This window comes from Homo sapiens, chromosome 22 (assembly GCF_000001405.40).
Source record: "Homo sapiens chromosome 22, GRCh38.p14 Primary Assembly".
Taxonomy (NCBI): domain Eukaryota; kingdom Metazoa; phylum Chordata; class Mammalia; order Primates; family Hominidae; genus Homo; species Homo sapiens.
Window position 1 is genome coordinate 43,983,714 of NC_000022.11, and position 27,278 is coordinate 44,010,991.

Below are 27,278 nucleotides of genomic sequence, written 5' to 3' on the forward strand. Positions count from 1 at the left end.
TCTCCAAAGTTTGCAGTGTCTCCTTAGATGTTGAGATTTTTATGAAATTCCCCTGTAGTGTGCACCCTCTTGGTCTTTCTCAAAGGTTTTGCCTTGTAAAAATGCTGTCGATAATCTAGTATCGAATGTGAGTCTGACATGTGTTTCCTACGCGTTCCGTGTGTCATGTCGTTTCTCACCTCCTGACTTTCCTCTGACCTGTGTGCTGTTTTGTCCTAGGTTTTACCTTGGGGGACCCACAAGCATCCGCGGATTCAGCATGCACAGCATCGGGCCACAGAGCGAAGGTCTGTCCTTTCCCCTCACGGCGCCAAGTCTAGAAGGCTCGCGTCTCACTTTGGAAACCATGTACCTGTTATTAGCTTACAGCGATAATAGACATTCCTCTTTCACGGTGGTGGAATTAGCACCTAACACAGAACTTACCATGTAGCAGGTGTAGAACATTTATTGAGAGAATTGTAGGAAAATGAGAAAATATATCTGAGCAAAAACTCTGTGAAAATGACCCGCAGTCCTACCCAGAGAGAACATGTGTAAACGTGTTGTTGTCTGTTCCCTGCAGGTTTGACATGTGCTTCCTACTCTTCCTTTGTTTACATATTATTATTTTTTTTGAGATGGAGTCTCGCCCTGTTGCCTAGGCTGGAGTGCAATGGCGCGATCTCGGCTCACCGCAACCTCCGCCTCCTGGGTTCAAATGATTCTCCTGCCTCAGCCTCCCAAGTAGCTGGGATTACAGGCACCCGCCACCATGCCTAGCTAATTTTTGTATTTTTAGTAGAGATGGGGTTTTACCATGTTGGCCAGGCTGGTCTCAAACTCCTGACCTCGTGATCCGCCTGCCTCAGCCTCCCAAAGTGCTGGGATTACAGGTGTGAGCCACTGGGCCCGACCCCTATGTATTATTATTAATATTATCATTATTATTTTGAGACAGAGTCTCGCTCTGTCGCCCAGGCTGGAGTGCAGTGGCACGATCTCGGCTCACTGCAACCTCCGCCTCCCGGGTTCACACGATTCTCCTGCCTCAGCCCCCTGAGTAGCTGGGATTACAGGCACACACCACCACGCCTGGCTAACTTTTTGTGTATTTTTAGTAGAGACGGGGTTTCATTATGTTGGCCAGACTGGTCTTGAACTCCTGACCTCGTGATCCACCGGCCTTGGCCTTCTAAAGTGCTGGGATTACAGATGTGAGCCACTGCGCCTGGCCCCTACGTATTATTTTTAAACCCATTTCTCTCATCACCTCCCATAAAAATGTAACAGTATATTTTTATGCGAGTAAATGCCATTTTTAACAGGTACATATTTCATATTATTGACATCCTATATTTTAGTTAATAGGCTTAATTTGTTAGAGCAGTTTTAGGTTTACAGAAAAGTTGGGCAAAAAGTACAGTGTTCCCGTATAACCCCCATAGCTTCCTTATTATTAGCACCTTGTGTTAGGATGCTTCATTGGTTAGGATTGGTGAAGCAATATGATAACCTTATTAACTCAAGGCCATAGTTTACATGAGGGTTCACTCTTAGTGTTGTACCTTCTGTGGGCTTTGACAAATGCATGATGTCCTGCATTCACCATTCCAGGATCACACAAAGTGGCTTCACTGCGCTAAAAATGCTGGGCTCCCTTCATCCCTCCCACCAGACCACTGGAAACGACAGGTCTTTGAACTATCCATGGAGTTTTGCCTTTTCCAGACAGTTTGGGAGTTGGGATCATACAGTTTGTAGCCTTTTCAAGTTGTCTTCTTTTCCGTAGTAATATGCACTTAAGGTCCCTCCATGTCTTTCTGGGACCCAATAACTTGTTTCTTCTTATTGCTGAATAATATTCCTTTGTCTGGAAGTACCACAGTTTGTTTGTCCATTCAGCTGCCGAAGGACAGCTTGGTTGCTTCTAGTGTTTGGCAGTGATGAGTAAAGCTTCTATCAACATTCACGCGCAGGTTGTTGTGGACAGCTTCTGGGACATAAGTTGTCACATCTGCTGAGTCAGTGCCGGGGAGCGCAGTTGTTTGGTCACGTGTTAAGAGCACGCCTCCCCTTTGTAAGGAGCTGCCAGGCGAGCTTCCGGGGTGGCCGCGTCCTTTTGCATTTCCCCAGTGAGGAATGAGAGAGAGAAAGTTTATCATCTTAATGGCTGCGTGTTTTGTCTTATGACACACTATTATCTTTTTAAAGACCAAATCCCAAGCTTTGGACATTGAGTTTGTGTTTTTTTTTTTCTTTTATGATTATAAAACAATGTATTCACCTTCGAACTGAATGTTGGTACTCATCTGTAAGTTTTATTTATTTATTTATTTTTTCTTTCTTTCTTTTTTTTTTTTTTTTTGAGATGGAGTCTTGCTCTGTTGCCCAGACTGGAGTGCATTGGCGCAATCTCAGCTCACTGCAACCTCCACCTCCCAGGTTCAAGTGATTCTCCTGCCTCATCCTCCTGAGTAGCATGATTACAGGTGCCCGCCACCATGCCCGGCTAATTTTTCTATTTTTATTAGAGACGGGGTTTCTCCATGTTGGCCAGGCTGATCTCAAACTCCTGACCTCGTGATTTGCCCGCCTTGGCCTCCCAAAGTGCTGGGATTACAGGTGTGAGCCAGCACGCCTGGCCAAGTTTTACTTTAATATGAAATTCTAGATGTGAAATCGCCAGATCTTTTAGGGCTTTATCGTACTTTCTGGGAAGGTTGTCTCATTTATACTCCTAGAACCGTCTCTGACATGCAACATCCGTCAGAGGTATCTCCACATGCTATGGAACTTTAAAACATCATTTAAGTGGATGCATATTATTCCATTATTAAACATTCTCCCCTGATTTTCTTACTTTTTTTTTTTTTGAGACGGAGTCTCGCTCTGTTGCCCAGGCTGGAGTGCAGTGGCGTGATCTCAGCTGACTGCAACCTCTGCCTCCCAGGTTCAAGCGATTCCCCCTGCCTCAACCTCCTGAATAGCTGGGATTACAGGTGCCCGCCATCACGCCCAGCTAATTTTTGTATTTTTTAATAGAGATGGGGTTTCGCCGTGTTGGCCAGGCTGGTCTTGAACTCCTGACTTCAGGTGATCTGCCCGCCTTGGCCCCCCAAAGTGCTCATATTACAGGCGTGAGTCACTGCACCCAGGATTTCTTAAAATCTTCAGCACCTTTGTTGCTTCCATTTTTATGTCATTATAAGCAACAACTACACTCTGCATAAATTTTTGTCGAAAGTATAGATTATTTCTTTTCACTCGTATTTAGAGTGCTTCATTACAGTGTAATTTTTAAGAAAAGTAACTTAAGTTTTTGATGGTTTTATTTCATCTGTTTATTATAAGCAAGTGTGATATGCCGAGTCTATGAGAGCTGAGCCTTTACCTACCTGAGAAGTAAGGCATGCTGGTGTTCCACTCACCACCTCCGTGCGGTTGGCCAGACTCTGTGGGCAAGAATGTAAATTGCTATAATTTTTTTGTGAAAGTGGTTTGATGTATCAAGAGCCTTAAAATGTGTATGTTCAAGAATTGTTAATAATACTATTAATGATAGCCCCAAGCTGGAAACTGGAAACCGAAATGCCCATCAACAGTAGGAAATGGTCAGATAATTATGGTATCTTCTACTGTAATGAGGAAGAACAAGTTACAGCCACTGGCTGAATGATGGCATGAGTAAATCTCAGAAACATGTCGGGAGGAAAAGCTAGACCCAGAGGAATGCCTCCTGGAAGATCCCATTTATAAAGCTTGGAAGCAGGTGAAGTGGCCTGTGCTGTGAGAGGGTGGGGCAGTGGCTGCATGTGGTATGGGCACCAGGTGGTGGTTAGAAGGGAAGGCAAGGTCTGATGTGGGGTGTGCTTGGTTTCTTGGTCCTGGTGCTCTCTGGGCAGATGTGTTTCAGATATAGAAATTCATTGAGCTGTACACTTAGGATGTGTATACTTTCCTATGGGTATGCACAATAAAAGCTTAAAAAAATACATGTTTGTGCCAGGAAACTCATCATAGGTTAATGTCCATGATAAAGGACTTAGAAACCAGTATGACAATAGAAGAGAAATAGATCATTAAATATTGGTCCACCTATGTTGTTTTTCAGGCATAAAAACCCCATTTTCAAGGAAGATAAAGCGTTAGGAGAAAGTGTTTACAATATATTAAAACTGAAAAAAAGTAGGACTGGAAACTGTGTATATATATATATATACACACACAGAGAGAGAGAGAGCAAGCAAGCACCACATTTTATTGGCTTGCTTATTTGGTTTTACATTTACATTATAATCCACTGGAAGAAAGGACATCAGGATGTTAGCTGTTTATTTCTGAATGGTAGAAATTAAAATATTTTCATTTTTTTCTCTTTATGTTGATCAGATGTTCTACAATGAGTATATTTAACTTTTATGTTCAGAATAAAATCAGTTATTTAAGAAGAGAGAGGAGGAGTGGTTTCTGGGAAACAAAAAACAAGGTTGTTCTCCTGCAATTTGTTCATTCTCTGTTCCCATCAGAGCTCTCGTGTTGAAAGGGATTAAGGAGATGTTGGTGTCTTTTTTTTCCTTCCTCTGGATTGTGAGGAACTGAAGTCTTTAAATGAATCAGCAGTTCATTCCTTGAAGTTAGTCTTGAAGACATCAGTATTTTCCCATTTCATGGTCTGTCATTTTGTATTAGAGGAGAGTAAGACACTGTATAAATGGTATTTTGCAACAAAGTATAAACCTTTGGGTTGTATGTTTTCTGTTGCTTTATAGTTTAAAATGGAATGGACAGGAACGTTTTTAGAAATATGCAAATACATGCTCTCAGTGGATAGGCTTACACTTTGGCAAAAGTAACCTAAATCCAAGCGGTCATGAACCGTTGAGAATTGTCTCTTCTCTGGAGACACTGAGCTGGAACCTGGTCTCGCTGTGCAGTGGGTGGCAGGCAGCCTCTGCCTTTTGATTAATCATGTGCAGCTGTCTCCACACACTGCAGAGACGCTTTCTGCATTTTGTCTCTATTGCGCTCTCGAAAATTTGGCAAAATAATGCATTTCATTTGCAGGTGGAAGTGAGTTGGTCATCTACATTTGTGGATAAAGTTATTGTCATGAGACTCATTTCTTCAAAGCATTTCACAGATACGATGAATGACAGAGTGCATTCCTTCCTCAACGACATTGGCTTTGTTTGCCTCCTCAGTTAAATCAAGGTGTGAAACAAACCAGGAGAAAAAGAAAGATTATTTAAAATGAGGCCATCAGTATCAGGAATGAGAAGAACAGCTGCTTGCAAACTCCAGCACTGTGTGGCGTTGTTTACAGGACAGAAATCTTGCTTCTGTAAGTTGTGGAAAGTTAACGTGATGTTAACCTTGTCGGACCTTGTTTTTGTTCTGCACCCCTCCTTTGCTTAGGAGACTACCTAGGTGGAGAAGCGTACTGGGCCGGCGGCCTGCACCTCTACACCCCATTACCTTTCCGGCCAGGCCAGGGTGGCTTTGGAGAACTTTTCCGAACACACTTCTTTCTCAACGCAGGAAACCTCTGCAACCTCAACTATGGTAAAACTTGCGCTATTCAAGAAACCATTGTAGTACAGTTGTTTTCATGTTTAAAAGCACAGTACACAAAGAGGTGTCTGTCTTTTTTTTTTTTTTTTGAGATGGAGTCTCGCTCTATTGCCAGGCTGGAGTGCAGTGGCGCAATCTCGGCTCACTGCAACCTCCACCTTCTGGGTTCAAGTGACTCTCTTGCCTCAGCCTCCCGAGTAGCTGGGACTACAGGCGCGTGCCATCACGCCCGGCTAATTTTTTGTATTTTTAGTAGAGACGAGATTTCACCATGTTGGCCAGGATGGTCTCGATCTCTTGACCTCGTGATCCACACCCCCCTTGGATTCCCAAAGTGCTGGGATTACAGGTGTGAGCCACCGTGCCAGGCCATGTCTGTCTTTTTAGATTACATAGTCATTAAAGTTAGAGACTGTGCCTTACTTGAAAAAAATTCTTACAACAGCTAACATAATGCCCAGCATTAAGTGGTTGGTTGAGCGAATGAAGCATACAAGAAAAATAATCATCTAATGCCCTTACGAAGAAAAATCTGTTTGTCTATTTAATAAACAAGTCATGATGGCCACAGAGCTGAGTAGGATTGGGTGCCTTCCTCAGGGAGTTCAGGTCCAGAAGAGACTCCCAGCAGATGCCTGGGTGCTAGGGGTGCCTGGAAAGCTTCCTAGAAGGCATGGAAGTCTCCAAGCTGAGACTCAGAGTGGGGCTTCCCAGGTGGTCAGGGGATGGGGAAAAGTCATTCTAAGCAGAGGGAACAGAATATGCCAGGCCCAAAGAATTGAGAAGGCGTGGCTCATTCTGGATGTGAGTAAGTGTGGCTCCAAGTCCTCTCTTGACCTGGGTCCTAATCTCACTTCATGCATCCTCCCTAATCTCTAGGCCTGGCTTTAAAAACAACTGCAGGGCCCAGCCAGGGGGAGCCAGGGCTTGTCTGGGAGAGCTGGGAGAGCTTGGAAGGACGGGCACGCACTGTTGCTCACAGGTCTTTCTCTTTTCAGGGGAGGGCCCCAAAGCTCATATTCGTAAGCTGGCTGAGTGCATCCGCTGGTCGTACGGGGCCGGGATTGTCCTCAGGCTTGGCAACATCGCTCGGTTGGAACTTAATTACTGCGTCCCCATGGGAGTACAGACAGGCGACAGGTACGTGTTGGGAATTATTTTCCACAATCACATCCCACTCTCCAGTAATTTTATTTTGTTTTGGACGTGGTTAATTTCATTAGTGGCTTTTAAGCTTGAAGATTTTAAGAGAATTAAATAGTTGCAAAATAATGAAAACACATGTATTTTCCTCCTTTGCGTTTTTCTCCATCTAGCTGGGAGGAGCAGGTGTGAAGCGTTCCCACCCCCTCCCTCAGGTGCTTTGTGCTTATTGTTCCCAGGGTAGTGGGAGCCCCTGCCAGGGTCTGGCTGGAGGAATTGACAGGTGATTTGGTTCCTGTGTGCTGAAAACAGAAGGCAGTGTTTTGAGCAGTTGACTTTGCAGGCCAGGGTCTCTAGGAAAGTTGGGGTGAGTGAAGCTTTGTTCCTGACCACAGAGGACACGATCTTGAGAACCCCTCTCTCTACAGCAGAGGAACCCACCTTCTTGGCTTTTCTTCACCCCTTATTTTATTGAGGAAAGATTCCCTAAATGTTACATGGGTGAATATGGTATAGGGCTAGTTACACAGTTATATAAACAAATTCTATTTCTTACATGCATTGTGTAAAATTTTTTTTTTTTTTGAGACAGACTCTCATTCTGTCGCCCAGGCTGGTGTGCAATAGCACGATCTTGGCTCACTGCAACCTCTGCCTCCCAGGTTCAAGAGATTCTCCTGCCTCAGCCTCCTGAGTAGTTGGGATTACAGGCATGCGTCACCACACCCGGCTAATTTTTTGTATATTTAGTAGAGACAGGGTTTCACCATGTTGGTCAGGGTGGTGTCAAACTCCTGACCTCGTGATCTGCCTGCCTCAGCCTCCCAAAGTGCTGGGATTATAGGCATGAGCCACCACGCCCGGCATTTTTTTTTTTTTTTTTTTTTGAGACTCGGTCTTTCTCTGTCACCCAGCTGGAGTACAATGGCCTGACCATGGCTCACTGCAGCCTTGACCTCCTGGGCTCAAGTGATCCCCCTGCCTCAGCCTCCCAAGTAGCTGGGACTACACACCAGGCTAATTTTTGTATTTTTTGTAGAGACAGGGTTTTACCACATTGCCCACCCAGGCTGGTCTTGAATTCCTGGGCTCAAGCCATCTGCCCGCATTGGCCTCCCAAAGTACTGGGATTACAGGTATGAGCCACCGCACCCAGCTGCGTTGTGTAAATTTTAAGAGATTCAGACGTGTTTTCATTATAGTGTATCTCGGTCAGCTCAGGCTGCCATCACAAAATACCATGGAGTATTTAAGAGTGACTTAAACAACAGATGTTCATACTCTGCCAGTTCTGGAGGTTGGAAAGTCCAAGATCAGGGTGCTGGCAGATTTGGTTGCTGTTGGGTTCTCTTCTTGGCTCGCAGATGGCAGCCTTGCCACTGTGTCCTCACTTGGAGGAGGAAGAGTGCAGGCCAGTGCCCCGATGCCTCTTCTTATGCGGCCCCTAATTCCATCACGAGGGCCCCATCTTCGTTACCTCGTCTGCACCTCAGCACCTCCCAAAGGCCTGCCTCCAGGTATCAACACCATCCTGTCAGGGTTAGGGCTTCAGCATGTGAATCTTGTGGGGACATGAATGTTCAGTCCACAACAGTGTTCATACTGTCTCTTATTTTTGTATATGCATTCACAGCACCCCAGCCTGTTTTTTCTCTTCATTTTTGTGTCTACCTTTATGTTGCCACCAAATGGTGGTGCTGTTGGAGGCTTAACCCGGTTTCAAATAGGTTGTAGTTTGTGCCAGTTGAAGGAAATGCTGTATCATTTTTACTCTCTCCGTCTTCCGCATCAGCATGTAGGGGATGGTGCTTTGTAAAGGGGAGCCGCATTCGCAAGTGTTTCTGAGCATCGCCTCTCAGGTGCAGTCTGCGTCTGTCATTCAGGTCCTTTACGGTTATTGCTTCAGCGGAATCTGCTCCTTACACTCTTGCCAGAAGGCCCTTCAGCATCTGCTCCGCGTCTGGGGACACGGCAGGGGCTGCCAGGCTGCTGCGGCTCCCTACTGATGACAGGGCCTTCAGAGATGGCGGCGGCTGCTCCCACAACCGCCAGCTCCCATTCCCCTCCACGCCTCTCCTGTTCTCCACACAAAGCCCAAGCTGGAAAGGGTGTAGTCACGCAGGCTGCATGCATGTGTGCCTGGGGGCCCAGCTACCCGGGCTTGGGGCCCAGCTTGGCCACTCTGTGTGACTGTGTGGCCCGGGGTGAGTCACAAAACCTCTCTGGGTGTCCATTTTCATGCCCAGAGGATGGACGATCATGATGGTGACTGTTGCAGTTTGGAGAACTCAGTGAGTTACTGCATGCAGAGCCCTTGGCGCACCGCCTGGCCTGGGGTTGGGAAGTGGTTATTTTTCCTGGGCTGCTCTGCTGCTGATACACCCGGCGTGGCCAGCCCCTCACACAAGGGAACAGGTTCCTGTGGGAGGTGTTGCCCCTCCCCCTCCACATCATCTCAGCTAACAGTTTGTGACAAGCCATAGATGGGATGATGCATCCTGATTTTGGAGATAATAAAGTGAAAAAGTGGGCACCTTTTTCCAGAGCGAGACTGCATCAGATAACTCCACGCCGTTACTGTCTTCAGCAGACCAGGCTGGTTTTGCAAGTTTCTTTCTATGAAGCCCTTATTCCCTCTGCAGTTGGGAGTGTTGGGCTCCCTGGCCTAACAGCCAGGTTCTCATTTGAATCCTTGCAGGTAGCCCCAGAGGCGCTGTGACGCTGCTGCACCAACACCTAGCTTAAGTGGGTGGTTTTGAGTGGTTGACTGCAGGCCCGGGGCTGGAGGGGCGTTGGAGCGAGGGAAGCTTTAGATACCGCTCTCTGACACAGTCCCTGCTGCTCTGGGACCCGCCACTGTGCACGTCTCGGGCAGGGAGGGTCTGGGCAGCCCACGCTGCCATCACCACCATTGCAGTGCTCTTTGTAGCCACTGGGTGTCAGTGTGCCCTGAGAAGTCAACGCGGCTTTTAGGAGCTCTGTTGAATTGACCCTTTCTGAAATAATTTTCATATGAAGTGGTTACATTTACCTTTCAGCTTTACTTCCGTCTCTTCAGGTTAAATCTAAAAAACACGTTTCAGAGATTAATTTCAAAATATGGTTTATTCCGGGAGGAAGCAGCATCCTAAGCACGTGACATTTAAAGACCAGGCTATAAGGAAGTGCCTCTGCCCCCAGGCCAGGTGGCAGCTGTTCAGATGTTTATTATGGACAGTGAGCTCTGAACGGGGTCAGCCTGGCACCCCGAGTGTGGAAGACATTTTCGCTCAGTGTGAGGCCTTGTTTGAGGTTGGTCATCAATATTGGAATTTCGTGAAGTTGGAGTGAGGTTGCCAGATTTAATCTTCATTTCTAAAATTTGGTAGCTGGCAGGATGGGGTATCGTGTGTGTAGAAATTATCCACAGGTTTCCCCCATAACTGAGGCAGGCACACTGTAAATAGGACTTCAGACATTCACAAAGAAGGAAACAGTTTTGAGATGTTTGCTTACTGTTATGTCGCAAGTGATTTGTGGCACCACTGTCTCTGGGATCTAACAGCATTCTGTCAGTTTGTGTCTTAGGAGTCCGGTCTCTGGAGACACAGGGCTGAATCAGGCAGGCTCGCTTGGGAGAGCAGCTCACAGTTAGCAGCAGGAAGACAAGAAAGTGGATCATCTTGGTTGTTGGGGAGGGTGCTGAGAGGGCCCCCTGGAGCAGGTCCCTGAGCTGAATCTTCCTAGAGGACAGACAGCCAGGTGCTTGCAGAAGACACGCAGGGACAGTGGTCCTGGCTAACAAAGGCAGGAGCAAAGCTGTGCAGGTGTGCGCTGTCGGCGGGCACCGGGCAGAACCGCGTCCTACAGGAACAGAAGGGGGAGTGGGGAGGTCCAGGCCCTGAGCTCCCACGCCTTTGCCTTCCAGCCCCGCTGACCTTTTTCCCCTTGGGTATATGCCAGGGTCTTTGAGCTCAGGACTTCATCTGCCTTGTTCACCGCTGAGGTCCCCATGACTACAACTGCACCTGGTGTTGGAAGTGAGAGCCAGGTGGAGAGGCTCCTGGCGTGTGGTGGGAGGTGGGGTGCAAGGCGCCAAGGGTGCTGTTGGCATGACCTTCCTAAAGCACCCCATGCTGGGTGCTTCCTGGCCTCCAGCCTCAGAGTCCAAGTTCGTCAGAAGCCTTTGAACATCAGACTCCAAGACCCTGTGCCGGCAGTGGCAGTGCTGGGTGAGAAGAAGGTGGGAGATGACCAGGAGCCCTGCACCAAGACAGCGGCCGTGAGGGAGGGAGAGAGCGTGGGGTGCACAGCAGAAGGTGGATGTTTGGGGCTGTCTGGAGGATGCCAAGGCTGGCTTGCCCCTGGTCTGGTGGAACTTCGCAGCGCTGCTTTGAATGTTTGCAGTGGGTATTTTGTTCTGTGACATGTTTATGTGGTCTCTGAGCATAAACCTATGCTTGTGAAGTTGTTTAATCTGTTTGTTTGTACTTAGAGTGACAGGCCTTTATTAGAATGCTTGCTTGTTTTCTGAATTACATATGCCAAGAGCTTGACTTCCTTTTTAGCTCCTAGCTTATGTTCAGGCATTTTTCTAAGTAGCGAATGTAGGTATAGACTAGTTTGAAGGAGCTGAGAGTGTACAATCTAAAAACAGATCTGAACACAACTAAATGGTACAAATGCAGCCCGGGTTTTGATGTGGATTCTGGTGTTTTAAGGCCATGGATGTGGCTTACTGTAATCTTGAAGGGGCTGCAGTCCTGGCTTCTGGTGAGAGGACTGCAGTGCCGGGGCTGGTTAATAAGCACCCTTCATCCTGCAGGAGGCCGGCGCAGCATTTGTGAGTATCTGTGTTGAATCTCTTCGTGGATCAGATATTGTGTCTTCTTGCTCAGAGTCAGGTTGGAAAAGGAAAACTTGCCGCCGGTGTGCATGTGCTCCAAATCCTCAGCTTGGGCAAGGGCACGGGCGTCGTGAATAAAGGAGCCATTCTTGCTGGCCTTTTCTAGAAATTGCCCACAGCTTGCAAAAAGGCTGTGTTCCCTGGCCCCGGCTGCGGCTGTGTAGGAGTCTGAATATCATTTTCCCCAGAAGTTGAGGTCCCTAGGTTAGGCCCACCTTGTCCCAAATGGGCAGCATTGGCCTTGCCCCATGCACAGGCTCCAGGCGGACAGAGCTGCTGCAGGCATGCTGTCAGGGGGACAGGCTGCCCCCCAGCTGTGCATGGCAGTGTGTCGGAAAGAACAAGGCCTGTGGGTGCCCCTGAGCCGGGTCTGGAGTCCTGTCCTGCCACTTCTCAGCCGTGTGACTGGAGCCTCTTTGCTCCTCTCTGAAAATGGGTCTGGTGGTTTGTTCCCAGGTTCTTAACCACTGTGTGGAGTCACACCTGCAGAAGGTCAGCTCATAACAGATATGGCAACCAATGTGACCTTTGCATCCTTCCTTCCTGGGGTCAGGAGCAGGTCTAAGAGGTGGTCAGGCTAAACCCCTGTAGGGCTGTGGGTACTGCTGGTTTCCTAAGCCCCGGGACCTTCTGGGGGCCGGGCGGACCTTAAGTTCTGTCCACCTGCCTCTCCTCCATCCTCACTACCCACCTTGTCCTTCCGGCTCCTTCCCTCCCTGCTCCGCCTCTCATCGGCCCTCTGTCCTCTCCGTCCGGAGAGGGGAACGTGAAGGAGGTGAGGAGGGAGTAGTGCAGGAGGATTTGGGTCTCTCCTTCTTTCCCTTTTCCATTCTCCGAGGGCTTAACCAGCTGGTGAAGGTTCTTAACCAGCAAAGGAGGAAGCAGCCGGGGCCGGTGAGGGTGAGGCCGGCAGCCAGGCAGGAAGGCAGCAGGAGGAGGAGGAAGCGGAGGCGGCACCTTCTGAGAGGCGCATGCTCAGTGAGTCGTGAAGATGGCAGGGCTGGCGGAGCGGCCGCCGCATCTGATCTCTCCCCTTTTTTTAGGATATGTGATGGCGTCCAGTTTGGAGCTGGGATAAGGTTCCTGTAGCCGACACCCCTACAGGAGAAGCTCTGGGACTGGGGCAGCAGCAAGGCGCCCATGCCACACACCGTCTCTCGAGGAAACGCGGTTCAGCGATTCTTTGACTGCGGACCCTGTGGGAAACCCCGTCAATAAATGTTAAAGACACACTCCGAGGCAGCGTGGATGTGGTTTGCTTTCACTCAACAGTATGGCCCGCGTGGCCTTTCCCCGGGACCACCCGTGTTCTCACACACCCGCCCAGTGTCTGCGAGTCTCCGTGTTTGGTTCCCGTGTACCAGACATGATGTATTCAGAGCCAGGCAGCAGGAGGGAGCTTTGCCCCAGAGGAAGCTCAGCCATGCTGTTACGGAGAGGGCGCGCTCCCCTCGATGCACCAGCCGTTGTCAGAGGAGGCCCACGGCAGCGGGCGCTTGGAGCCACAGTGCTCGAGCCATTTGAGTGTGTGAGTGGCAAGGGAGAAATACCCAAACCGTGTAACATTAGGGACACTGAAGCAAAGACGGAGCCTGGTGTCTACAGACGAATGGCAGCATGAATGAGTGTGCGTTTTCTGGGGCTGCTCTAAGTCACCACAAACGTGGGGGCTTAAAACAACACACATTAATCCTCTTGTAGTCTGGAGATCAGAGTCCAGAATGGGTCTTGCTGGGCTGCGTCCTCCTGGAGGCGCTAAGGGGAAATCCCCCTCCTTTGCCAGCAGTGAGAGGCACCACATTCCTTGGCCGACGTCACCTGCATCTTTAAAGCCAGCCATGTGGTGTCCCCCATCTCTCCCTCTTGCCTCCTCTGCGTCTCTGCTGTCTTTGAAGGACCCCTGTGGTGACCTCGGATCTGCCCGGGGAATCCAGGGGTCTTATTTCTAGGTCAGCAGATGAGCGTCCTTAATTCCGTCTGCAGACTTAGCGCCCCCTTGTCATGTTATCGTCACGTTTACACGATCCAGGGATTAGGAGGTGTGCGTCTTCGGCTGGGTGGGAGTGCGGGACATTATTCTGTCTCACACAACTAGTATCTCTCTAATATTTGGGGGATAATCTTAAATTGGTCACACATAAAAAAAGTTTTTGAAGAACGTGAAACCTCCTTTGAATTGAAAAAGTGGTGCCATATGGAAACGTCTAGTGTTGCAGGTGATGCCCCGCAGGGCTTCGCACATGCATTACTCTCCGATTTTTTCTCTCTCTCAGCTGGGGCTGAGTCCCCGTCACTTTCAGTCCTCCCCGTAACTTGTTGTTTATGTCTTTGCCAAATGACCTGAAGATTTGGGCCTCAGTCTGGGGACCCATGTTATCCCTGGGCCACACTCTCAGGTGCCCCGGGACTGTCTCGCCCTCATTACCTGCAGAAGCTGCAGGGATTTTACAGAGAATATATAAAAAGAGACAGTTTTGGTTGGGCGTGGTGGCTTGCACCTGTAATCACAGCAGTTTGGGAGGCCGAGGTGGGTGGATCATTTGAGGCCAGTAGTTCAAGACCAGCCTGGCCAACATGGTGAAACCCCACTTCTACTAAAAATAGAAAAATTAGCTGGGCGTGGTGACAGATGCCTGTAGTCCCAGCTACTCGGGAGGCTGAGGCAGGAGAATCGCTTGAACCCATGAGGCAGAGGTTGCAGTGAGCTGAGATCCCGCCACTGCGCTCCAACCTGGGCGACAGAGTGAGACTCTGTCTCAAAAAAAAGAGTTTTGCCTTCCTTATAATAGTTAGGAACATGGAAAAATGTGCTTTTTCCCCCTAAATGATTTATTCTTTACAGTTTCACGCTTATGCCTTTGAGAAAACCAGAAACCCATGTTTCAACACTGTCATGATCAGACCATCAACTTAGACCAGTGAAATCTGAATAATACAGACTCAGCACTATGATCTTTGAGAAATCATCTACTACATCAGTGGAGAACCCAGCGAAAGGGTCACCTGAGAAAAGTTACCTGTTTAATCAAGCAAGTCTGGGGTACCCCAGGTCGCTACAGCCAGCTCCTTAATGAAAGCTCACCAGGGCCAGCTGTCTCTCGTGCGGCTGCAGCGTGTTTAATTTGCAGGTGGACTCCGCGGGCTGCTCCTCCACAGGTGAAGTGAAAACAGTGGAGGTCCTGGGTGAAAATGCGGGTTCTGTTCATCCTCAGAAGGTGGTAAGTGGGCAGACTAGAGCGTGAAGCCAGAGGCACTTCATCAAGTGCTTTCCACAAAAGACCAAAAATAAGGCACGTTCATTGTGGGAAGGAATTTCATAGCTGCTATTTTAGAGAGCTCAGAGAGCAAAGAAAGATGGAAAGCCTCACAAAATCCCCCATGAAATCCTCCCTTGGCTCAGTGATTCTTTGCATCTTAATGTTACTCCGTTTCTTCTCTAAATACCTCAATTTTCTGGACTGGAAGAGAGCTGGGTATTTGTTTAATTAACCTCTTGCTTTACTCGGCGAGGGATGGGCCATGAAACCAGTGGGCTGCTTCCGCTGAAGAATGCTGCCGGCTCCGTGCCGGAAGCCTGCTGGCTCGGTCATCTTCCATTTGTAACAAGAAGATTGATTTTAGTGAACCTAATCTTCACAATGCTTCTGGAAGAACAGCTGTGATGGATCACTCCTCTGTTATCGTGAATCTGCGGTGCTCTCGGTACACACACTGTGACCTTTAACAAACGGTTTCATCAGTGGTGTGCCTGCCACACTGTGCCACAAGGCTCTTTTGTACCTGGCTGCTGTCTACAAGTCTTATGACCCAGTGAGGGAGCAGACTGTTCTGCCAAATGCCATCGCTACTAGGACAAAGGACAGTCACCTGGTGAGGATCTGCCATCAGGCCACATTTTCCCATTGGGTGACTCCTGCAAAGGCCCTACACTTTGACGTCCTCCCCATCTCCGGCAGCTCCTTAAACTAAGAACTCATTTTAATTTCTGAATTCTCCCTTTTTAAAGACCAGATAAATTTACCTTTGGGACAGTTAGATGTGCACAAATGCACCATGTGTTTAAAGATCACCAAAGAGGAGAGAAAAGGGGATTCCTTAGTCCAGAGAACAAAAACTGGTGAGCTGTGATTTAAACAAAACGAATGTTGTTAAAATCAGGTTGTACTCAGAAGTCCAAATTTCTAGCTTCTCTTGAGAAACTGGATCCGACAAACAAAAAATGTTCATTCCTACCTGCAGCAGGAGGCTGGAGCTGAGACGTGGGTGTTCCTGCAGCTGGGGCCTGTGCTCCCAGGCACTCATGGCTTCTCTGGCTGGTTCACTTCTCCCTGGCTCAGACAGATCAGGAGTGGAAACATCTGAATATGCTCAAGGAGGAGGTAAGTTTTGGGGGAAAAACTGTCAGAAAGTGGATGAGGGCTGGGTGCAGTGGCTCATGCCTGTAACCCTAGCACTTTGGGAGGCTGAGGAGGGAGGATTGTTGCTTGAGCCCAGGAATTTGAGACTACTCTGCACAACATAGTGAAAACCCATCTATATGAAAAAAAAAAAAAAAAAAAAAAAACAGCTGGGTGTGGTGGCATGCATCTGTGGTCTCATCTACTTGGGAGACTTAGGTGGGAGGATCACTTGAGCCCAGGAGGTTAAGGCTGCAGTGAGCCGTGATTGCACCACTGCACTCCAGCTGGGGTGACAGAGCGAGACCCTGTCACAAAAAAAAAGAAAGAAAGTGGACTAGCAGTGAGCCCAGGGTCAGGGGCCCTGGCTCTTGCCCTGTTGGGGCTGTTTACCAAATCCACTCACTGCTTTCCTCAGGTTTTTCTTCTACCAAAGGAGAAGATCTTGGTGTATTCAGCAATAGATTCCACTCTTAGTGGATGCCACTCATGAGCTTTCTAGGGCTTTCTACCCCCAAGGTAAAGGCTAGATGATTTTTAACACCAGAGATTGATTGTTTTGCCTGTCTGAGGACATTATGTACAAGGAGTTGAACAGTGGCTCTTTGATTGTGATTCAGACTGGAGGTGAATCCCAGCTCTGTGGTTGACCAGCCGTATGACCTTGAGCATGTTCTCATGTGGGTTCAAATACTGGGCCACTGTGAATATGAGGCACAGTCCCCTGTTTCCCAGTGAAGAAAAGCCAGGTGGAGGAGAGTGGCCAACCTGAGTAAATAACTTTTAGAAATACAGATGAAATAGGCCGGGCGTGGTGGCTCACGCCTGTAAAATTTTGCAGATCTTTTAATATCTGTCTTCAAAACCAGAGGGATTCTTGCATCTGGTTCTGCATTCAGTTTGTTGCATTTGAAGTTGTTCGATTGACGCATATGAAGAAAATGTGTTTTCACATAGATACGTATTTGGAAAAGAGAGTATTTTAGTAGCCTTTTCAGATAACTGTGAACATTCTTTGATACTTCACCAAAACTCAACTAATGAACGGTTTTGAAAGGTTAGTTGCAGTGTGGAATCTGAAACCCCGTCTATGTCTTTTTCACACTCTGTTCCATTAAGATCCCCTGGTCTACCTGGCACTGTGATTGGATTGTTTACCCAGGCATGCTTTTGTAACATCATATGCTAGTCATTTGCAAAATACTGGTTCCCTGAATTAGGCACATCTTCCAAATGTCAACATGTCTTCATTATGCAAAACAGAAGATCACATTTGGCCAGGTGCGGTGGCCCATGCCTGTAATCCCAGCACTTTGGGAGGCCCAGGTGGGCGGATCACCTGAGGTCAGGAGTTCGAGACAAGCCTGGCTAACACAGTGAAACCCTGTCTCTACTGAAAATACAAAAAATTAGCTGGGCGTGGTGGTGGGCGCCTGTAGTCCCAGCTACTCAGGAGGCTGAGGCAGGAGAATGGCGTGAACCCGGGAGGCGGAGCTTGCAGTGAGCCGAGATCACGCCACTGCACTCCAGCCTGGGTGACAGAGCGAGACTCCATCTCAGAAAAATCAATCAATCAATCAATAAAAGATCACATTCATTAATATCAGCACCCGTTGGATCAGGAAAATCTAAGTACAGATGCTCGTTGACTTACATTTGATAAACCCGTTGTAATTCAAAAATATTGTAAATTGAAAATGCATTAAGTACACCTAACCTACTGGACATCGTGGCTTAGCCCAGCCTCCCTGGAACATGCTCAGAACACTTATATTAGCCTACAGTTGGGAAAAATCTAAAACAAAGCTTATTTTATAAGAAAGTATTGAAGATCTTGTGCAGTTTGTTGAATACCGTACATGACATAGAAATTGCAACCATTTCACGCTGTTGTAAAAGTCAGTACATCGGAAGTGGGACCATTAGAAGTTAGGGAGGTATTGGGAAGCTGCCAAGCTCATGGTGCTGGATCCAAGTTTCCAAAAATTCCAGTTTTCACTTGAAGCCCGCATTTTACCATTGGCAGCAAACACTTGAAGCTCACTTTGTCCATTTCCAAGGAAATGTCTGCCAGATACCCACGTCTGAATCACCATAGTTTGTTAGTCGCTCTTCCAGGGAAAAACAATGTTCCATGAACACAGCGGCAATTCAGGCCTGGACCCAATCACCCAGGGCTTTCCTTGAGACATATGAGCCCCTGTGAGCAGCAGAAGTGTTCTCTGCTTAGGATGTTTGAACACAGGGTAAAAGCGCTGAGATGTAATGACAGGGAGCATTTTGCTGCTTCATTCATGAGCGAAACTGGCATTTGTGTTTCCCTCCCCAAGCACAGTGGCGAAGAATACAATGGCCATAGGGGTGTGTTGCCTCTGCCATTCTCTGCCAGGGTGCAGGCACTTTCACCCACAGCTGCTTTTGCATCGTGAGTGCAAATGTCAACCCAGTGAACCAAGTAACTAAGTAATGTCTTTGCATTATTATAAATATAGTTTTAACCCAATGGACTCCCTGGAGGAGTCTCAGGATCTCCAGGGGGCCGTGGACCACGCTTCGGGAACCACTGATCTATCGTTGTCCAAAGCTAATTTTTTCAGCTTTCGGGGTCCTCCCCAGGTGACTTGCAATAGAGTAATTGTGAGAATGCCCATAAGGGCTAAGCTGGGACTTAAGCACCCTCCTTTTATTTTCAGATGTAAATCATATTCACCTCCCTGCCGCAGATCCTTTGTGAAATGGGGTAGTCGAGCCTATCAGTATCGAGAGAAACAAAAGCGAAGTGCCTGGCACGTGGTAGGAACTCAGAAGTGGCAGGAGGGGGCAGTGGGTGTTGGTGGAGGGGCAGAGGCGGGTGCGTGGTCTCTGCGCTCCGTGGGGTGGGTAAGAACCTGCCAATCCCAGTGGGTTCTAGTAGGAGGGATGTCTTTCCTGCGTGGCTGTACACAGGAGAACACTGTAAAGAGCAAGGACTGGCATTAAATTCTGCATTAAACGTGAGGCCTGTTTTTACATTTACACATACAGATTTCAGTTTGCGTAGTGAACCGTGGGAGGCTGTCTCAGTCGTGCCTTCCTGGGGTCAAACCAGTTGGCCTGTTTTCAAGAATGAAAAATGCTTTGCCCGAAAGTGGGGCGAATGGTAATCACAGACACACACGTCTCGGTGCCAGAGTTGTAGCTTTATACATAGTGCCTTCCTGACAAGTAAATTACTGGATTCCTTTGCCAAATCATTAGATAACTTTTAAGAGCAACAAACATTCATGCAAAAGGAGATTCAGCATTATCTTGTTAGAAAAATAGTCATGATTTTTGAAAAGCAAGGACATTCTGTGAAGTTTGACCAACTGTGAAAATTACAGCCTTTCTTCCCCGTACTTCCCCCGTGCTTTTCAATCAATCAGTTTCTAATGGATGAAGCATTCCCTACATTTGTCACTAGATGGATGTGCCGGTCAATTAAAATATTCTGACTTCGCAGGGTTGAGATAATAGCCAGCCTGGATCCATCCGTTACTGTGAAATAGAAGGTGACCTTCCTGTATTGAGTCAGAGACCCAAATACAATTGCTTTGATCTTATTATCATAGCCAGAAATTACCGTTCATCTAAACGTAATTTCCCTGAAATACTGAGCGGGCAGAGCTACTGCTGGAAATACCAGAACATCATAAAGAGACTGTGATGTGGCCTTGGGGATGAAAGGTGACATCTTGACTTGACATCCATTCCACCTGACTGCAGAAATCAAGTGGAATGGAATTTCCTGGGATGTTCTGTATCTAGTAAAGGCTAAGTAGGATTCATCACCAAACCTTAACCCAGAGAGATTAAGCCCTGTTATAATGTGCTGCGGCAGCCACGCCAGGACTGGACTCCCTGGAATCTGACCCTTTCTTTCCATTCCCACACTCCCAGGCCAGGGTCCTAGCCTTTCCTGTCTGTCTGAAAACTGCTCTTCCAGGGGTGGGGAGCAGGAAACCTTGTGTTGGGGTGGAAAGAGCCTGTGTTTAGGAGTTGGAGCTGGCTTTGGATTCTCACTTCCTTTGTTCGCTTATTCGTTCCTCCAACATGGACATTGGGCCAGGTGCAGGGTGTTGTACAGGTGGCTCTTCTGGCAACTGCCGTCAGGTTTACCCTCCTCTTTAGCCCCAGAGGTCCCACAGCCTCCTGTGTCTGCCCATCCCTTACCTCCGATGTCCCCTTCCCTGAAGTTGTTCCAAATGACCTGTAGTTGCCGCTGCTGGGCCTGGCTTCTGCAGGGCTGGCCACTCCCCTTCTCCAGGGAGCCCCTAGTTCTGTTTGGAGAACTTTGCCAGGTGCTGGCCCTTCCCCACTCTTGGGATGGAAGCCTCTAGAACAGGATGGAGAGGGGTGTATCCATCTGCATGTCATTCTCTGGTCAGAGAAAATAAGTTCCACCTTTTCTGAGCTTGAGTGAGAAAAAAACAATCAAACTAGATGTTTGCCAAAGACATCACAGCAGACACGAAGTAGCAGAGCCATGGGCACAGAAAAGGGAGCCTGGGTACCCCCTGCTGGCAGAGGTGCTGGGGCAGGAGCAGGCGCTCCAGGTCGCGCGCGAAGTCAGTGAGGACCCTTTTGAGCTCCCCGCAACTGAAGAAGGAATTAATAAAATCAACTATAACCTAACAGTAGTAGTAATAGAAATTTTAAAATCCTCTCAAAGTTGCTGCAAAGTGTGACCCCCCCCTTACTCTCAAGTTAAAAGAGAATATTAACAGTCTGTCTTCTCTCTGTGGACAGTGGACCTTATCTATACTCCCCAACTCCACATTCCTCAAAGTTTGTTACAGGCCCAGCGAGTTCCTGCTTACCTCCCTAGCATGGCTGCAGGGTCACAAGACCAATAAGTTTAGGTGGCAAGACATGTTTCTCTCAAGATATAAGAAATGTAATGCTGTCTTTGTTTCTTGCTTCTGTAACTTGCTTCCCGCCTCACGTAGTTCCTGCCTTAAGATGTTTACAAGTAGAAAAAGCCCTTTGTTCGGGGCTCAAACTTTCTGGACCTATGTCCGGCTGAGCTGGTGATCACCTTAATTTAATAAACTCTCCTGAACCTTTTCCGTCTCTCCAGTCTTTGATTGTCCTGCAACACAACGTCCGGTTTGTGAGCATGCACTGCTTTTGTCTTCTGGGCTAAGCCAGAACAGGCAATAGGGTTAAGCACCTGAAGTACATTTTAAGGAGAATTAGGAGCCATTGTTCCAAAAAGATTCTAAAAATGGATGATTGATTTAAAAGGTTCTCAGGGACAGTGCTGTGTACTCAACAGACTCCTGACCGACCTGCTTATGAGCCTTGAAAACAGAAAATCTTTATTTTGCAATAAAGGTGGGAAAAATACAACAGCTCTTTAAAAATCAATGATTAAAAAAATTTTATAGTTTTATTTATTTATTTTTGAGAGAGGGTTTCACTCTGTCACCCAGGCTGGAGTGCAGTGGCACAATCACGGCTCACTGCAGCTTCAACCTCTTGGACTTAAGCAATCATCCTGCTTCAGCCTCCCAAGTAACTGAGACTATAGGCGTGTGCCACCGTGCCCAGCTAATTTTTTCTATTTTTTTTTTTTTTTTCTGTAGAGACAGGGTGTTGCTATATTGCCTAGGCTGGTGTCAAACTCCTGGGCTCAAGCAGTCCTCCTGCCTTGAACTCCCAAAGTGCTGAGATTACATGTATGAGGTACCACGCCTGGCCGTTTTTTTTTTTTTCTTTTTACACAAATAATAGCATACTGTAGTTCCTGTTACATGCTTTTCTCTTTCTTTTCTTTAATTTTTTCAGAGACAAGGTCTTGCTCTGTCACCTAGGCTGGAGTGCAGTGGTGCTGAGGCAGGAGAATGGGTTCTGGAGGCAGGGTACCTAAGGCTGATTTGCACTGATTTCCTAGAGCTGAATCAAAAGGAAAACCCCACCTCTCCACACCCAAGTAACGAAAGGATCAGAGGCTACTCAACCCTCCCACCTTTCCACTGCATGGCAGATGAAAAATGGGAAGTTCCTCTGATTGGTCCCCTCCCACAACCAATCAGACTGGTCGCAGGCCACTTCTTCATTTACATCGGTTGTAATCAAGTAACAACCTAGAGGGTATTTAAACCCCAGACAATTCTGTAACCAGGGCTCTCAGCCACTGCTAGAGCCTGCTCCCACTTTGAGGAGTGTACTTCTGTTTCAATATATCTGTGCTTCCGTTGCTTCATTCTATTGTTTCTTTGTTTGTGCGTTTTGCCCAATTCTTTGTTCAAAACGCCAAGACTCATAATCAAGACCCTCCACTGGTAACAGCGCTATCATAGCTCACTGCAGTCTCAACTCCCTGGCTCAAGGGATCCTCCCACCTCAGTCTCTGGAATAGCTGGGACCACAGGCGCATGCCACCATGCCCAGCTATTTTAAAAGTATTTTTTATAGAGGCAGGGTCTTGCTATGTTTCCCAGGATGGTCTTGAACTTCTGGGCTCAAGTGATGCTCCTGCCTCAGCCTCAGCCTCCCAACCCTCTGGGATTACAGGCACAAGGCACCACACCAGGCCCATGGAATGCTTTCAATAGTGTATATCCTAGCATCTTACGCCACTCCAAGTGTAGTGCAGGAATCTGACGATACATTAGAAATGCAGAGTCCTGGCCAGATGCCGTGTCTCATGCCTGTAATCCCAGCACTTTGGGAGGCCAAGGTGGGCAGATCACGGGGTCAGGAGATTGAGACCATCCTAACCAAAATAGTGAAACGCTGTCTCTAACTAAAATACAGAAAATCAGTCGGGCGTGGTGGCATGCGCCTGTAGTCCCAGCTACTTGGGAGGCTGAGGCAGGGGAATCACTTGAGCCCAGAAGGCAGAGGTTGCAGTGAGCCGAGATCGTGCCACTGCACTACAGCCTGGTGACAGAGCGAGACTACATCTCGGAAAAGAAAAAAAGAAAAAGAAATGCAGAGTTCCAGGCCCTGCCCAGCCCACCCTGTGGTTTTGCAAGATTCCCAGGTGGCCTGTGTGTGCAGTCAGGATTGAGGAGCACCCTCTAGGTTTGAACTCAGCACACTTCCATACCTTCAGCCCTCTCCTCTCATAGGTAACTCAGCTCCCACCTGCCACGTGGCAGGATCTCCTGGACAGGCAGCCAGAAAGCTAGTAACAGCAAAGCTTTGTTACCTAACATTTCCTTCTATTTGTGTGCAGTACCTCCCCCTGTCATGCCCCGTGTGAGGGCAAATCACCTTCATCGCTGAATCTTTCACCTGGGCAAGTGCAGGAGGGGAGCCCCAGATCAGCTGCTCCCATCCATGTGAGTTCTGCTGCGCGGATGCAAAAGGCACAAAGATCCCAGGGACCCATAGGAAGCTTCACAATGGTTACCATCCACCTACTGTCAGTGGCCACTACCTTCCGTTCATTCAACCGTTTGGGGGACAGCGATCAAGCTCTTAGTGTGTGCGAGGCTGCGTTTGCGGGTACAGCGGGCGGAGATGACACTTCAGGTCTAGTGGGGAAGAACAGGTCAGCAGGGGGTACCCAGGAAAGATGGGGAGGGGGTGCCCAGCTCCGCCTATGGGAGGAAGGTGGGCTGGGGGGAGTGGAGTCTCCTCCGAGAAGCCCATCCTTTCCCGTGCTGCTTTGCAGTTTAGCATGGGGCCTGCATCAGGCTCTGCACTCCCACGCTGGAGGCCAGAGATTCATGTGAATTTCCAGTCGTGGGTCATGGCCAGAGCATCCTTTATTCTCTTTCCCAAGGTCGGGCTCTCTGTTCACCCTCTTCTGCCTCTGGGAGCCTCTGGACTCATTTCTTCCCTCCTGCGCTCCTCAGCGGGAAGTCTCCATCTCCTTCCTTCCTGTAGATTCCTCTTCTCCACGAGAAAGTTTTAGAGGCTTTTCCAATCCCCCAAGGCAAGACTTTGAATTACCTTTAGTTTTAGGCCCTGATTTATGTGGGTTTGACAACAGGCTTTAAAAAAGTTTTTTTTTGGTAAAATGCACATAAAATGTACCATTTGAGGTCTACAGTTCCGTGGCTTAAATCCATTTACACTGTTGAGCAACCATCACCACCACCCATCTCCAGAACTCTTTCATTCCGAAGCTGAACCTGCACCCATTAGGCACTCACTCCCAATTCGGTCCTTCCCAGCCCCTGCAGCCACTGTTCTACTTCCTGTCGCTATTAATTTGACTCCTCTAGGTGCCTCATCTAAGCAGGATCATACAGTATGTGTCCTTTTGTGACTGGCATATCACACTAGCATCATGTCCTCAAAGTTCATCTGCGTTGTAGGCTGAGTCAGAATTTCATGTATATACGCATGCATACACCACATTTTCTTTATCCCTTCATGTGTCAGTGGACGTTTGGGTTGTTTCTACCTTTAGAGACAGGTTTTTTTTGTTGTTGTTGTTGTTTTGTTTTTGAGACAGAGTCTTGCTCTGTCACCCAGGCTGGAGCACAGTTGCATGATCTCGGCTCACTGCAACCTCCGCCTCCCAGGTTCAAGCAATTCTCCTGCCTTAGCACCCCCGCCCGCCTCCGAGTAGCTGGGATTACAGGCGCGCATCACCACGCCCAACTGATTTTTGTATTTTAGTAGAGATGGGGTTTCACATGTTGGCCAGGTTGGTCTCAAACTCTTGACCTCAAGTGATCCACCCACCTCAACCTCCCAGCATGCTGGGATTTCAGGCGTGAGCCACCACGCGCGGTCTAGAGACAGGATTTTATGATTGAGTGAATATACCTGGATGCCTACTATGTGCAAGGAAAGCATGCTTCTGAGAAAAAAAGATTCATTTTGCATTTTTCTTTTAGATTTTGAGAAAACCATACCATTTAGTTATAGAAAAGTATTTATCTTTTGCAGCATACTTTGGCTGACTTTGATAACACTCAGACTGTATTAGAGATAGATGCTTGGGTCTGCCACTCTGAGGACACGGATCCAAGAGTGCTGCCACAACCTGCCTGTCTTTCTTGCTTGCTTATAAAAATAGAGATGACAGGCTGGGCATGGTGGCTTATGCCTGTAATCCCAGCGCTTTGAGAGGCCGAGGCAGGCGGATCACGAGGTCAGGAAATCGAGATCATCATGGCTAACACGAGGAAACCCCATCTCTACTAAAAGTACAAAAAAAAAATTAGCTGGGTGTGGGGGTGGGTGCCTGTAGTCCCAGCTACTCGGGAGGCTGAGGCAGGAGAATGGCGTGAACCCGGGAGGCAGAGCTTGCAGTGAGCCGAGATCGCACCACTGTGCTCCAGCCTGGGCGACAGAACGAGACTCCATCTTAAAAATAAATAAGTAAATAAATAAATAAAGCTCCATATTTTAAAAGCTCATTATAGTATTTAAGTAGCAGTGATGTTTGAATAGTCTTTTCATGCCTTCCCTTTTACTGATTTCCTTGCGAATTTGAAATTTTGACTGTCTTAAGATAATTTAGCACACAGAATTGAGCTTTACATTTTAATATTTTCCTGATTTAAGAGGATAATTTGCTTACAGCTGTTCAGACCTCTGATCTCAATTGGTAATGAGCTACAGTAGGTATGCTATGTGGATGAGCATGGGACAGATTTTAACATACAAGTTGCAAACCCAAACCCATGAAAGTTTCTATCACTTTTATGTCAGACTGAGTTTTTAACTGATGATAATGCCTGTCTGAGTATTCATTTTCTCAATCAAAATGTATTCTAATCAGTTTTGAAATCAGTTTTGAAATCAGTTCTATTTGCTCTAAATAACATCAACTTGTTATTTTTTTGTACGGACAGATACAAAGGCAGAGTTCAAATCAGCAATTCCCCATTGACAAAGTATTAAGGTAAAGTGGCATTCTGCCATAAAGGTTTATATATATATGTAAAAACCTATATATATACACACATATGTATGTAATATATAATATATGTGATATATGTAATATGTTTATTACATATATATAAAATAGGTTTTAAAACCTATTATATAAACTCTCTTGTTAATATATAAACCATTATTTAACCCTTTAAAAACCCTCTTTTATATAATAAACATTATATATGTAAAAACCTATATATACACATATATATGCTCATATATGCATACACATGTGTGCATATGAATCTTTTTTTTTTTTTTTTTGAGACGGAGTTTTTCTCTGTCACTGAGGCTGGAGTGCGGCGGCGTGATCTCAGCTCACTGCAACCTCTGCCTCCTGGGTTCAAGCAATTCTCTGCCTCAGCCTCTCGAGTAGCTGGGATTACAGGTGCCCACCTCCACGCCCAGCTAATTTTTTGTATTTTTAGTAGAGACAGGGTTTCACCATCTTGGCCAGGCTGATCTTGAACTTCTGACCTCGTGATCCACCCTCCTCGGCCTCCCAATGTGCTGGAATTACAGGCATGAGCCACTGCGCCCGTCCCCATATGAATCTTTAAAATTGCAAATGTAATTCCCATTAGAATGTAAGCTCCGCAGAGGAGGTCTTGTTCATTTTGTTCACGAGTGCACCCCACGGCCTGGAATCACACATAAACTGGCACTCAGTATTTGTGGAATGAATGAATCCATGAGTGTGCAAAGGAGAAAGCACAAGTTGCTTTTCTGCTTAACCCCATGTGATGAATGGCACCACGTCCCACTAAGATCACTCTGCCCTTTCCCCTGCCAGGGTGTCTCATAATGTTCCCTGGGGCGGCTGCACTGTCCTATAATTTGTGTAATCAAACAGGCACATTTAGGTGATCCCCATTCCCCTATATGACAAGCAGTCCTGCAGTGTGCTCATACCTTTGTATAATTGTGCAGAAACTTTCATGGAATAAATGATGAGAAGTGGAGTTGTTACTGACGCACTTTTGGAAGTACTGTGCTGATGCATTCCTAATGAAGCTCCCTTAGAGTTCAGAACAACAGAATCTGAATCACTGTTGTTTTCAAACATCGGTTTTTGGTGGTACCATCAGCATCACCACTATTAGGACTTTCAGGTAAAATGTGCAGTAAATGAATTGAATTTTGGTTGCTCTCTGCTCCCGAATCTGCATAGTATCTGATTTTGTATGGCCTGCGAGTGAAGGATGAGTTTACGTTTTAAATGTTTGGGACCAAAAAAATCAAAAATTTTACGACATATGAAAATTATGTGAAATTCACATTTCTGTGTTCTTAAAAAAAAGTTTTATTGGAATTAGGCACCATGCCTATTTTTTTTTTTTTTTTTTTTGAGATGGAGTCTCGCTCTGTCGCCCAGGCTAGAGTGCAGTGGCGCAATCTCAGCTCACTGTCATCTCTGCCTCCTGGGTTCA

General features: G+C 47.3%; 2 protein-coding genes across 3 annotated transcripts in view, besides 1 other annotated feature; both read left to right on the plus strand.

Annotated features, from left to right (window-relative positions):
- Positions 1-12,816, plus strand: part of SAMM50 (SAMM50 sorting and assembly machinery component) — a 41,088-nt gene extending 28,272 nt beyond the window's left edge. Inside the window, exons 12-15 of the mRNA NM_015380.5 lie at positions 220-287; positions 5,398-5,544; positions 6,552-6,693; positions 12,625-12,816. Coding sequence (NP_056195.3) covers positions 220-287; positions 5,398-5,544; positions 6,552-6,693; positions 12,625-12,670 — 403 coding nt within the window. The 3' untranslated portion in view covers positions 12,671-12,816. The remainder of the gene's footprint in view (positions 1-219; positions 288-5,397; positions 5,545-6,551; positions 6,694-12,624) is intronic.
- Positions 12,467-12,636: an enhancer, noted in NCBI's record as "active region_19196". NCBI's record gives its function as "activates an Ori minimal core promoter by ATAC-STARR-seq in GM12878 lymphoblastoid cells {active_cell/tissue: GM12878}" and the evidence as "EXISTENCE:reporter gene assay evidence [ECO:0000049][PMID:35858748]".
- PARVB (parvin beta) overlaps positions 15,498-27,278 on the plus strand; it is a 173,729-nt gene continuing 161,948 nt past the window's right edge. For both annotated transcript variants that reach the window (NM_001003828.3, XM_024452236.2), the window contains exons 1-2: positions 15,498-15,698; positions 15,821-15,960. In NM_001003828.3, coding sequence (NP_001003828.1) covers positions 15,628-15,698; positions 15,821-15,960 — 211 coding nt within the window. In that variant the 5' untranslated portion in view covers positions 15,498-15,627. The remainder of the gene's footprint in view (positions 15,699-15,820; positions 15,961-27,278) is intronic.